This window comes from Homo sapiens, chromosome 8 (assembly GCF_000001405.40).
Source record: "Homo sapiens chromosome 8, GRCh38.p14 Primary Assembly".
NCBI classification, from domain to species: domain Eukaryota; kingdom Metazoa; phylum Chordata; class Mammalia; order Primates; family Hominidae; genus Homo; species Homo sapiens.
The window spans coordinates 40,754,961-40,769,207 of record NC_000008.11 but is presented as its reverse complement, the minus strand read 5'-3'; the positions used below and the strand labels follow the sequence as shown (position 1 = coordinate 40,769,207).

The 14,247-nt window shown below is 41.9% G+C and overlaps 1 protein-coding gene across 7 annotated transcripts in view; it reads left to right on the top strand.

Annotated features, from left to right (window-relative positions):
* Nucleotides 1-14,247, top strand: part of ZMAT4 (zinc finger matrin-type 4) — a 367,237-nt gene that overhangs the window by 128,619 nt on the left and 224,371 nt on the right. For 6 of the 7 annotated variants that reach the window (NM_001135731.2, NM_024645.3, XM_017013836.3 and 3 more), the window contains one exon: nucleotides 1,478-1,567. In NM_001135731.2, the coding sequence (NP_001129203.1) occupies nucleotides 1,478-1,567 (90 nt within the window). Of the gene's footprint in view, nucleotides 1-1,477; nucleotides 1,568-8,170; nucleotides 8,357-14,247 lie in introns of those variants that run through there. The other variant, XM_017013840.2, reaches the window with a different exon arrangement.

Here is a 14,247-nt window from a genome sequence, read left to right as displayed (position 1 = left end):
GCTATAAGTGTTGACAATATATTTCTAAGTCACATTTCAGTACTTTTACACATTTGTAAAAATTTTTCATGTTTCATTGGCACTTTTAAACCCATTTAAAGGCCTTAAAAGTGTTCAGGGATTGTCTAGAAGCTTGGTCTTTTGTTGCTCTAGACAGAATATAGGAATTAAGAAAGTGATGAATGAGGAAAATGGACAGGAAGGATTTACAATCTATCCTGTAAACAAGATGCAACTTTCTATGTGTTCTCTGAAAATCACTTTGCCTTCATGGCTGATTCATAAAAGTAAACCACCATCCAGGAGATGGGCTAGGATGCAACTGTAAATAAAGTCATAGTGGAACAAAAGCCTGGAAAAGCAGGAAATAACCTCTGAGTAAAGGAAAGGGAAGGGGGATTGGAATTAGGGAACAATAGATTCGAGAGGTGATGCAGTCAACAGTGAAAAATGTTTAATATTATGCAGATTGCAATTTTTCATATGCAATGTCTCATTTGATTCTTATGACACCCTAGCAAATGTTGTGGTATTCATTTTGTACATGGAGAAAATGTGACTCATTCTGATATAAACACATTCCAATAAGAGACTGGCCTAATATCACACAGCTAGGAAGTGGTAGAGCTGGAACCCAGATTCTGAATGTGTGATGACTCTTAGTGTTCTTTTCACTCCGCCATCCTGCCTCAGGTAGAAACTTGAAGTTCTGACTGTATTCTTTAAACGTGATGGGAATCCGGGATGAAACTCTCAGTTGAGCAAAGAAGAGGAAATAGGGAACAAAGAAGGCATCAGTTTCTCCATGCTGGGCATGGACCAGTCAGTATAGCCAGAAATCAACAATCCTGCTAATTCCAAAGAAAATGAGTCTTTATTTGCTCAACTGCATCATCTGCTGGCAGGTAGCTTAGGCTGTGGTCAGTCCGCAGACTGACATACAATTCTCTTTAGTTTGCTCATGATATCTGACCTTAGAGAATCCCATCCCTTTTGATAGCTTATTAATGAAGTCTGTGTGTGGGAGAGCCATGAGAAAAGGCTTCTATTGGGGGTGAGGTGCACCAGGCTCCCAAGGAGGCATTGTCCCCAGACCCTGAGGGCAGGGCAGCAGTAGTGAGAGAGATCACTGTGCCTCTTCTTATCACAATTAATGCTTATGTTATTTCCTTTGCTTATTTGTTTTTATTTTTGAGGAAAATTAAATATAGTATATTATCCACCCTAGGCTACATGATTTCAATGCCTTCACCTTCTTCATTACTGTGTTTTCTCATCCTGAAATTACATTGGCTTTAGAACTTGGGGCAAGCCACTTAACCTATCTGAAACTACATCCTACATCCCTCACAGGAGTATGCAGAAGTGTCTTCTACTGAAAATACATTTCTTTTTGCATTTGCGGGCACTGGCTAGGTTTCAAAGGGTTTGAAATGGCTTATCTTTTACAGTATCTGCTTATGCTTTTCCTTCCCAGAGTCGAAAACATGCAAGCAAAGTCCGACTGTATTACATGCTTCACCCCAGGGATGGAGGGTGTCCTGCCAAGAGGCTCCGGTCAGAAAATGTGAGTATCTGGTACCACGTGATATCCTCAGATGATTTGTTCTGTGTACTGAGAACTTTGCAGGTGTAGGAATTGTAGTCTAGTCCAGATTCATAGAAAAGCTGAGTGAGTAGAAATAGTTCTCACTAAATATTACAGGTACTATGATATATATCGAGGTTTTTTTATTTTCCTGCCAGAACTTGCCCATATAGTATTGGAGGAGTTTTTGATGACATTGCACTGGGACCATAAACAGTGAGAATACACAGAGGTTGTGGGGCAGAGAGCAAGGCTGGGTAAGGGGAGGCAGGACCACAACATGATGAAGTATTAAGAAGACAGGACCTCAGGGGCAAATCTGTCAGAAATATTAGATACTTCACTTTCTACATACTTTATTTTTCCTCTGGTGTATAAAACAGAATGTCTTGTTTGTTAATTTATAATGAAGAGTGTGCATATTTTGCAAATAAAAATACCCAGGCTTCTTGATCCCTCCCTCTGAAGGAACATTTGCTTGGGAAGACAAGTGACAATTATAAAGTCGCTTTGAGGGAGTCAAGTCAGAGCAAAGGGCTTATTTCAGCCAGGCCAAGGCAAAGGCTGATGAAATAAATATTCCTTCCTCCCAGCAGGGGTTACTTTTCCTAATGAGTAGAATATTCATATCCACCAGCTGCAGAGGCTCCTCCTAATAAACACTGTGGATTAAACACAGAAATTCCTCGCCCTTTGAGTTAAGAGGAGGCTGCAGGCGTAGAATTTATACCCCACACCATCCGTGTGCTTGTGATCTTGTTTTCTTTCTGCTGCCATGTAGATGACGGTTTTCTTTTCTCATTAAAAATTAATACATGATCACTGAAGAAACTTTACAAAACCTTCACTTGTGTATTTTTCACAGGGGATAAAAAGAGGGAGCAAGAGAACTGCCTATGAGCAGAGGTTGTGAGCATCAAGGCTGGTGTTTTTAACAAATTCTAAGCATGCCTCTTGGTGTCACAAAATGAGCTGTTCATACACAGACTAATCTGGAACACTGCAGATCTGTCTTTACTGCCTTGTTGAAGCAGCCTTTAGAGCTTATTGGAAGCAAAAGATGTCTTGAAAACTTTGCAAGCTGCTAAGAGCCGGGACTGAGTCTAGTTTTTTTTTAGCCCTTAGCGTTAGGACCCTGGGCAAATAATTGATCTCTTGAAGGCCCAGTTTTCTCAGTCAGGCAGGCCATAATCATCATATTTTACTTTCCTCACTGGACTATGGTGAACATTAAATGAAGTGGTAGATAGGAGGCGTACTGTGACTTGCCAAGCATCACATGCAGGCACTGACAAAACAGCTAAATAAGACGCAGTGTTGCCTTAAAGAAATTCATAATGTAGTATGGGAGATTGACATTGTATAAAGAGTAGCTATAATATCACAGCATAAGTGTTTATTAACATCCTGCACAAAGAAACATGGAGACAAAAGGCAAGCGGATCATGCCAAGGGGCTCTGGTCAGGGAAGGTGCTCCTGAAGAGTTGGCATTTGAGCTGGAGCTTGGGGACATGAATGGATTTTACCAGATGGAGGCCGCAGGAGGGAGGGAGGAGGATACCAATTTCGTAGGCACATTCCTCTCAGAAAAACTTATTAAGCCATGGGAGAGTTGGCCTACACCAGCTTTTATGTAACCTCCGAACTCTATGGCTACTGGAATCGTGCTTCCCATTGGGAGAGTATCTATTAGCAGAAAGAATAGAATTCGTTTTTTACTTCTTGAAATTATCCAGCAATCAGATCTGAATCCTTTCATATAATAGCCATTTAGTGTCTTATGCTAATGGTCAGAGACAATGGGGTTCACAGCCACTTGACAATTAGCTTAAAGTGGCAAAAAAACAGAGATGACTGCACTCAAGCTAGTGTTGTAGTTGTACAGGCTCAAGATGGTCCTTGCCACTCTGGTCAGGTGCACAATCCCCTTTAATCAAGCTCCGGTGCTGCCAATAACCGCAAGGACAGTTTACAGTGGGAAAGATGTTTGGATTTCAGAGCAAGAAGCATCTGTTTGCATTCTTTATCAAAGTCCCCGTGGAAACCTTTTTTCTCTGCTGTTTCCTGGGTTTTGAAAAACCTTGATCTACCAATGATTTATTTATCAAATCATTTTTCTATAATTTATTGAGCATAATATAAAAGCAAACCAGTAAACAGAAAAAGCAATAAAATCGTCTTACTTTTTGAGAGTGATAGTTGATGCTTTTGTTACACTGTGTGTACATTTGTAGGTGAATATATACTTTCCGCTATGCATTTTGATCTATTGGACACAGCGTGGAAGTCACCCCCAATACTTCTCAGGGGCTTTAAGAGTGTATATTGGTAATTATATGAATCAACTTTCTTTTGTACAGGCTTATACCTAAGAATTGAGAGACTGAATATATAAAGACGTTGTCTGGAGAATAAGAAATGGTGTCTTATTTTTGGGCATTGAAGCCATTGCTGGGTCCGGGGCCAGGGATGACTGCTGTTCTGGGTGAGTGGGTGCAGTGGCTCACACCTGTAAACCCGGAACTTTGGGATGCTGGCAAGAGGAACACTTAAGGCCAGGAGTTCAAAACCAGCTTGGACAAGATAGTGAGACCCTGTGTCTACAATTTTTTTTTTTTAATTAGCCAGGCATGGTGGTACATACCTATAGACCCCGCTCCTCAGGAGGCTGAGGCTGGAGGATTGCTTGAGTTTAGGAATCAGAGGCTGCAGTGAGCTATGATTGTGCCACTGCACTCCAGTCTGGGCAACAGAGTGAGACACTGTCTCTAAAAATAATAATAATAATAATATCGAAGGTATAGATTTTTCATAAGGCCCAACTGACATAAGTCATATTTATTTAGCATTTTGTTTTCAAAGCACTTTCTGCATGTATTATTATTACTGATACTCTCTCCACTAGCACGCTGTATTCTCAGAAGGATATAATAACACTTTATTCTACTCACCTCACTTCCTACTCAGATTCTGTGCTCCCAGGGGCTGTGAGAGGTTTGCATCCCAGTGTTAACTGATTGAGAAGAGCATTCACATCTGCCCTGAATACCCCCAGCGTATGGCTTTGTAAACAGAGAAAATGTGTTCCTGATTTCCCACACCCTGACCATGTATGAACCCTGCTCCCACCCCATTCATAGGAACTCGAAATTTACTTACAAACGCAGTGAAGGGCCTATTATACTTCTAAGGTCTATTGTTGCCATTTCTACTTCAGGCCATTTGGCTTTTGCTGTTGTTGTTTTAAACACCCAAATTCATTTCTATCTTCTGTTTTGACATTGTCAGCTGTTTAAATTTTCTCTTCACATGCTTTTATCTTTAGAATCCTTACTCGGATCTTACATTTTTTTTCCCCCTGGAAGACATTTTTCCCTTGGGGCCACAGAGTAAAATTAAGTGAGAAATAAATTGTTATGGTCAATTGCCTTAGAGAAATTTTCAGTAATCCCTCCAGCGTTAGAGACAGAAAGGACTTCAGTGTTCACGCAGTCCATTGAGAGTCTCCGTTTTTCACCCTTTTATTATCTTCAGACCCGTGGGTCAGATGCTTTGGGAAAAAATGATCTGTATGGGAAACAGCATTTTTAAGTAAAAAAGGTGATTTAGTTTTACCTGGGTTTTTTTTTTGTGTGTGTGATACTTTGATTTTTGCAAAATGTAAGTAACTGCTGACCAAAATCGCAAGTCAGTTTTAAGTAAACAGTATTTTTATGTGGGGTTAAGATAATTCCCTCTAAACATAGAGAAGCTTGGCATTTGGTTAGTGTCATCAGTGTTACTACTCTTAATATACATGCTTTCCTTCAGATCTGAAATATTCTGCATAGCTTGAGAAGCTGAGTGTCACTTTTACAAGTCCCTAAACATCCTAGAGTCTAGATGGGGAAGAATCAATCTAATCTAAACCCTTCTTATTACAAAGGTGAAAATAAAGAAGTACCATGACTTGACCAAAGTGGTCAGACCTGAGATTAAAATCCTGCTTCCCTAAATGCTATTCCTAGTCTTTTCCCACATATCTTGAAGTGGTGTCTTATTTTTTGGCCTTGTAACTGTTATGGGGTCTGGAGCCAGGGAGCATTGTTGTTCTGGGCAGGGTAAAAATAGTGGCTGGCTTTTATCATGCACTTTCCACACGTGTTCTAAATGCTTTATATATATGAGTGATCTTTCATCTTCACAAGCCCTGGAGAAGGCAGGAGTTGTCACTGTCCCCACTTAGCAGAGAAGCAAACAGAGAGATTAAGTAATTGACTGTGATCACCCAGCTAGTACTTGACAGAGACATGGCTGGAAAAGTAGAAAACAAAAGGAGATCTACTCTGATACTGTAAACTAGCTCCACAACATCCCATCGTAAGACGATAACGAGCATCTGCAAAGCGCTGGGGGACATGGACACCTTCCCCAACACAGATCAGGATCTAGTGGGGAAGTCAGATGTGTAGACCCTGTATCTCAATGCAGCATGATAAGTGCTACCATAGACATATGCCTGGGCATGGTGAAGGGTCCCTGGCCTCTCCTGATACGATGGGGCTAGATAAGTTTTCCTGGGGAAAGTGACACTGAACCACTTCTTAAAGGATAGATTTGGGTGAGCTAAATAAAAAAGAGTGGGAAAAGGCCCTTTTGAGTGTGCAGTCAGCATTGGTAATGTCTTCAGGGAAACAAACTCAGAGGCATTTCTTGAGTATGAAGTTCTAGCACTGTTGACTACCTAAGGCTGCTGTAACAAATTGCCACAAACTGGGTGGCTTCAACAAAGAGCATTTATTCTCTGGCAGTTCTGGTGGCTATAAGTGTGAAATTGAGGCATGGGCAGGGCCTTCCTCTGGAAAGTCTGACTGAGAACCTCTTCCTTGCCTATCTCATAGATGCTGGTGGTTGCTGGATTTGAAACTGTACCACAAAAACCTCTGCCTCTTCTATCTTTTCATTTTTGTTTTTTTTATTTTTAGAGATGGGGTCTTGCTCTGTTTCCCAGGCTGGAATGCAGTGGCATGATTATAGCTCATTGCAGCCTCGAACTCCCAGGCTCAAGGGATCCTCCAGACTTAGCCTCCCAAGTAGGTGGGATTGCAGGCATGCACCACCATACCTGGCTAATTTAAAAAAAAAAATTTGTAGAGATGGGATCTTGCTGTTTCCCTGGTTGGTCTTGAACTCCTGGCTTTGAGTGATCCTCCCACCTCAGCTTCTCAAAGTGTTGGTATTACAGGCATGAACCACCACACCTGGCCTTCTTCTCTGTGTGTATCTCTGTGTGTTCTCTCTCCTTCTTATAAGGACACCAATAACTGGATTTATGGCCCAATATAATCCAACATGACATCTTCTTAACTACGTACATGTGCAAGACCCCATTTCCAAATAACATTGCATGTCCTAGGTTGATATGAATTTGGAGGGGGACATTATTCACTTAGTACTATGGCAGAGGCAGGAGTCGAGGTTGGGATGGTGGGACATTGTGCGTAACGTTGACATTTACTTTGTCAAATGTCCCCTTGTCTTCTCAAGTGGTCTGCTGTTGACTTCGTGGTCAGTTCTCAAAGACAGATGCGTTTACCAACAAGTGCTGTGTGTTTGGCTTCCAGCTTAAATAGTACCCAGCACTGAGAGTTAGAAGTGGAGATTCTATCCCCAGTTCTGCTACGCATGAGTTTCACAACTTTGCTTTAGACTTTCTAAAACTCAATTACCATGGTTATAATCAAGCAATATAATTGCTGTCCTGACTGTCTCTCAGAGTTGTTAAGGGACTCAAGATAAAGTCATGTTTGTGAAGGTGCATGATAAATTGTAAAGTGTGTGTCAAGTATTCTGTCGTGGAATTTTTTCTTCTTTCTTGTGGAGTATCTCCTGATCTATGGGCCCTTTCATAATTAATCAATCAGCCAATTTCTACTGAGCTTCTACTATGTACAGAGTACAGAGCCGCATGCTGTAAAGGACACAGAAAAAAATGAAATATGGAGTTCATCAGGTAGTTGGAGAGAAAAGTCATACAGAAAGCAATTTAAAAACAATCAAGGGCTAATTTGTGTGGCCCTGCCTCTAATGAAGTTGATGATCAGAGAAGTGATTTTTTGATGGAAGCTGGAGTGCTTAACAATGGCTTCCCCAAGGCAAAAGCTTTAGAAGGCTCTGGAAGATTTGTACCATGACGGGGCGCCTGTTCTTGGTGGAGCTGCCTGCTGTGCAAAGCCTTAGAGGGAACAATGAGGAAGGCCTGTGGGAGACCTGGTTAGGCAGAGACTTGCAGGGGCCCTTCAAACTGACTTTCATTCAATATTTATTTAGAAAGCCCCTTTGAAAAATTAGCAATACATATGTTGTTTTATATTCAAAATAAGGAATCAAGTCCATAACCCAGTTATAACATTAAAACTTGTTTGGAATTGGATCTCTTGTGGATAGCTATAGTTACACACATTTGGCCAAGATAGAGATTATGTTTGTGGATATAATTATGAAGTACTATATGACATATGTTTAAAATTTCCCTTTATTGCCTTTTGTTATAGCAAATTATCCCCCCCTGCCCCACTGCCCCAGCCCACCCTCACCTTTCTTTCTTCCTTCTTTTCTCTTCTTCAGCTTCCTTTTGTTAATTTCCGAACTAGCAATTTCTTGGGAGGACAATTAAAGGTTTATAATGTAGGTAACACAAATCCTTCATTTTTAGGAAACCACATGCAGTATCGGGTTCAGGATTGTAGCTGACCATAGCTGTCAATTCTACGTTGGCCAAGCCCCAGGTTGGTGATAAAATCTGCTGTAGCTCTGTGCAACTTGCAGGTGCATGGTGCAAAAGCACGAGAGAGAGAGAGAGAGAAAGAGAGAGAGACCGCGACAGAGAGAGAGAGAGCATGACAGAGAGAGAGAGAGAGAGAGAGAGAGAGACTGTGACAGAGAGAGAGAGAGAGAGATCTTTGCGGTCAGAATGTTGCCTCGACCATGAAAAAAGTCAGCTTTGCCAGAAGCAAGAACCATTCAGAGTTAGTGAGTGGAAACTTGGCTTAACAGGAATTTTGTTTTTTCTGACTTCTTTCATTGCAGATTTTGTACTGTTTTTAGTTAGGTGACCCAAGATGCTGCTTAGCTCTCCTACCCCCAATCTGGTTCTGGTGAGGGTGCTGCGAAGCAGGGCTAGAGCCTGGGGTATGTTTGGGGAGGGATGGAGACTGGGTTGGCCAGTAGGAGGGGCTCGGTTCCTGAGGGCAGGTGAAAGATTTGCAGAAGCAAGTGTATGCCAACTTACAGATGTTTCCAAAGGGTCAAATAAAAGAAAAAAATCAGCACTTAGGTAAGGACTGATCATATATGGAAGTCTATTGCAATAGGGGGAATGTCCCAACCACTTGGAGAAGTAAAGCACGGCTAGAAGGAGCTGGGTGTTGGAGAGTCAAGGGAGTAGGTGCTGTGAGTGAGCAACTAAACAGGAACGTTTCTCTGCATATGTAGTCAGTCGATTATAGGGAAAGGCTGTTGGCAGTAGTGGTGTCTTGTCTGCATTCTTGCATAAGCTCTCAGTGCTCGCACAAGCATAAGAGTGGGACAAAGTTCAGGGACCGTGGGAAAGCAGAGAAGACTGACCAAAGTTTGGTCAGGCTGCGTTAGTGGGCATTTTGTCCAGATTTGTTAGTGGGGACAGATAGTTCAGTTAATTATTTATGAGCTGAAGAATGGGAATTGGGAGAGTTTGTGTCTGGCCTTGTCAATAGGTAAATAAGATGATCATCCACACATCTTATCTATGTCTTTTGGGGAAAGGTTGGTCTTTGCAGCAAGCTCTTTCCTGGAACAGAAAAGGATGGGAGATTTAAAAGAAACTATTCCTGTTTTCCAGAAGCAGGAGCTCATGTTTTTCCAGGACTTCAGCTGAAGTTCAACATTGTCATGTGGGTGGGGCGCGACCAAGACAGTCGACCCTTGTTTTAGTTGGCCTGTGCTGCTATAACAAAATCCCATAGCCTAGGTGGCTTAAACGTCAGAAAGGTAATTCTCACAGTTCTGGGGAGTCTGAGATCAAGTTGTCAGCCGATTCAGTTTCTGGCGAGGGTTCTCATCCTGCTTTGCAGATGAACATCTTATGGCAGTTCAGGTGGCATATGGGATAGCAAGAGAGATCACCTCTTTGTGTCTCTTTTTGTGAGGGTACTAATCCCATTCATGAGGGCTCCACTCCCATGAGCTAGTCATCTCTCAAAGGTAATACTATCTTATGACCTTTACATATGATCGCACTGGGGATTAGGTCTTCAATATAGGAATTTAGCAACCATAGATTCTAGACTGGCTTTTCCCTTTTTTTTTTTTTTTTTTTTTGAGATGGAGTCTCTCTCTGTTGCCTAGGCTGGCGTGCAGTGGCCCAGCCTCGGCTCACTGCAACCTCCACCTCCCAGGTTCAAGTGATTCTCCTGCCTCAGCCTCCTGAGTATCTGGGATTACAGGCCCGCACCTCCATGCCCTGCCAATTTTTGTAATTTTAGTAGAGACGGGGTTTGATGATGTTGGTCAGGCTGGTCTCGAACTCCTGACCTCATGATCTGCCCACCTCAGCCTCCAAAGGGCTAGGATTACAGGCGTGATCCACTGCACCTGGCCTAGACTGGCTTTTCTCAGATACCATTCCAAAGGGCTGATGTAATACAATTATGATTGCAATAGCGTTATGCATGTTTCTTTTCTCCAGTAGGTGATTAGAAAGCATTACTGATTCTCTGTTTCATTTTCTTTGAATGTCTAGTGTCCTTTCCGTTGTTCTGTCTTTAACCAGTAGAGACAGTTCTCTCTGTGGCATTAGCAAGTCTGTGTCTCTGCTTTGCTGCACGCTTATGCTAGGGAGCACTGTCACCATCCAACTCTGAAGGGTCAAAATCCTATTTATTCCCAAGATCCATTTTTCTTTGCTTCCTTCTAGAGACCACCAGGTATTCAGCTTTTCTTCTTCTTTCTATTTAGTATTTTTTTCATAATAAGTAATTTTTTTGTGTGCTGTTCACACAAATGGAAAAGACCACAGACAGAATTTTAAATTAGACATTGTCATTTACAGAAAATCTATATTCAGGGAAGGAATGGTTAAGGGTCCTTAATAACTAAAATCTGGTGATGACCGTGCCATAGTTCTTTAATACGTCAACACAGGAATTGTTGCTCTGTTTATTTTTTGAAAGGGATAATGATAACATACATTTGAAAAGAGTCATGGTGACTAATGAAAAAACCTTACAGATTGTCATTTCACTGAGTCTACCAACTTTCTCTTACGACTGATGTGGAGTGGTGACTGTGGAGGGACTGGCTTCATGACAAGAAGAGAAAGGGAATACAATGAAGTCTTCCTGCCATTTCTGTCCTTCAGTTGTTCAGAGGAGTATTAGGGTTCTCTAGAGGGACAGAACTAATAGGATAGATGTATATATAAACAGGAGCTTATTAAGGAATATTGACTCACACGATCACAAGGTGAGATCCAACAATAGGCCGCCTGCAAGCTGAGGAAAAAAGAAGCCAGTCCAAGTCCCGAGACCTCAAAAGTAGAGAAGCCAACAGTGCAGCCTTCAGTCTGTGGTCGAAGGTCCAGGAGTCCCAAAGCTGAAGAACTTGGAGTCTGATGTTCTAGGGCAGGAAGGATCCAGCATGGGAGAAAGACTAGGCTGGGAGACTCAGCCAGTCTAGTCTTCTCATTTTCTTTTGTCTGCTTTTATTCTGGCCACACTGGCAGCCTTGATTAGATGGTGCCCACCCAGACTGAGGGTGGGTCTGCCTCTCCCAGTCCACTGACTCAAATGTTAACCTCCTTTGGCAACACCTCACAGACACACCCAGGAACAATACTTTGCATCCTTCAATCCAATCAAGTTGACACCCAATATTAACCATCGCAAGAGGTAATTCATTGCCCTTCCAAGGATATTTGATGGATACATAAATAAAGATATTATTTTCCTATATTTTACATAAAGTATGGTACAGTATATGTACCATTTTACCTTTTCTTTTTTCTTTTTTTTTTTTTGAGATGGGGTCTTGCTCTGTTGCCCAGCCTGGAGTGCAGTGGCACAATCTTGGCTTACTGCAACCTCCGCCCTCCAGGTTCCAGTGATTCTCCTGCCTCAGCCTCCCAAGTAGTTGGGACTACAGGCACGTGCCATCATGCCCGGCTAATTTTTTGTATTTTTACACATCTTGGAGGTCATTTGACATGAGGTAAAGGGTGTTTGTGTGCATGCGTGTGTGTATGTGTGTACAGTGGATGCTCATTATTTGTGGATTCCATATGAGCAGATTCGCCTACTCATTGAACTTTACTTGTAACCTCCCATCAGTACTGGCACACATTTGTAGTCATTCACAGCCATGGGCAGGGTAGTGAAAAGTTTGAGTCACCCAAAGTGCATGTTTCCAGCTGAGGTCAAACCAAGTAAGACTCTGCCTTCCTGCTTCGGCTTCCATACTATGAACAAGTGTCCTTCTCACGGTCTGTTTGGAGCCATGCTTGTTACCTTTCTGTGCTTTTTGTTGTCGATTTCACTGTTTAAAATGGCCTCCAAACGCAACACTGAAGTGCTGCCCTGCGTTCCAAAACACGAGAGGGCTGTAAGGTGCCTCAGGGAGAAAAGACATGCATTAAATAAGCTTCCTTCAGGCTGAGTGACAGTGCTGAGTGACAGTGCTTCAGGCTGAGTGACATTGCTTCACGGCTAATGCTGGCCGTGAGCTCAGTGCTAACAGATCACCAATGTATATCAAATAATGTGTCTTTTAACAGAAACGTACGTAAAATGAGGTTACATATTGATCAGTTGAAAATGTTATAGACAGAGGCTCACAGGAAGCTAATCTTGTATTTAAGAGCAATGGTTCAGTATTTGCTAATTCAGTGTTCATAGCAACTTTATAGAACAGAACTACCACAAATAATAAGAATCCAGTACACACACACACACACACACACACACACACACACACACACACACTTACAAACATAAACCCGAACAGATGCTGAGTATTTCATTGTAAAGATATCCCATAATTTATGTAGTCCCCTACTTACGGATATTTGGGTTTTTCCTATCACTTGCTATTACAAAGAATGCCATGATGAATAAATGTGTGTATCTCTTTTTCAGGTATACAAGTGTGTATATATATATATATATATATATATATATATAAAAGAACATTTCCTAGACATGAAATTGCTGGGTGAAAACATGTGTGCATTTATAATTTTGATAAGTGTTGCTGTGTTTCTCCATGGAAGCTGTATTCGTCTACACTGCCCGGGGCTGCCAGCACCTACAGTCTCCTGGAGCACCTTTCTCCACAAGCCTGGTGGCAGAATGGAACACAGACTTTGGACTTTTCTTTGTGTTTTTTAAGACAAATACACAGAACTTGATGTTTGAGAGTCTGCTCTGTATGCCAGAGGCATGAGAATAACTTTAAGCATCCAGATGCTTTTTATCTTCCCCCACTCAAAGTACCCCTGGTGGGAGGAGAGTGAAGCAATAATGTTTAAGGTCCCAAGGAGAGGATCAATGTGTATGGGTTCCCTTCATTTGGGTCTCTTCAGGGTAATTTGCAACTTCTATAGTCCAGTTAGGACAGGCCTGCTGTTCCCACCTGGAAGACCTGAAGGGCAATTAGAAAATCAATAGATGCGATTTAGTATTTATGTGCCACACTGGCTCAAGTCAGAAGTCAGAAAATAACCACTGGCCAAATTCAGCCACTGCCTGTTTTTGTGTGGTCTGTAAGCTAGGAATTATTTTAAAAATTTTTAATGTTTGAAAAAAATCAAAAGAAGAAGGGTATATCATGGCTCATAAAAATTACATGAAATTCAGGCTGGGTGCAGTGGTTCGCACCCTTAATCCCAGCATTTTGGGAGGCCAAGGCGGGCAGATTGCTTGAGTCCAGGTGTTTGAGACCAGAGTGGACAACATGGAGAAACCCTGTCTCTACAAAAAATACAAAAATTAGCCGGGCATGGTGGTGCATGCCTGTAGTCCCAGCTTCCCGGGAGGCTGAGGTGGGAGAATTGCTTGAACCCGGGAGGCGGAGGTTGCAGTGAGCCGAGATCGGGCCATTGCACTCCAGCCTGGGTGACAGAGTGGGACCCTGTCTCAAAAAAAATTACAGGAAATTCAAATATTAATATTCATAAATAGAAAATCTTATTGGAACACAGCCACACACATCCCTTTACATGTTATCCACAGCTGCTTTCATGCCACAAGGGGAGAATTGAGTAGTTGCAACAGGGATGGTATATCCCAGAAGGCCTAAGATATTTACTGTGACCCTTTACAGAAGATGTTTGCTGCCCATTGAAACTCTAAAGGTGCCTTTCTTCTCTTCCTTATCAGACTTTCAGTTTGTGGCTGTTAGAGTTTCACCTAAGAGAGAAGCATCATTTCAAACCCCCGAGTTTCCATTTGCATTGTTGCTATTTGGCTTTGTTTCTTTTCAGAGAAAAGTTTGAAATTTGTGAACATATGATGTGGAAACAATGAGGACAGCTTATTTCTGTTTCTTTCTTCTTTTCTTTTCTCTCTCTTTCCTTCTTTTCTTTCTTTTCCTTCTTTCAAGATAGGGTCACTCTCTGTTGCTCAGGCTGGATGGAATGCAATAGCAT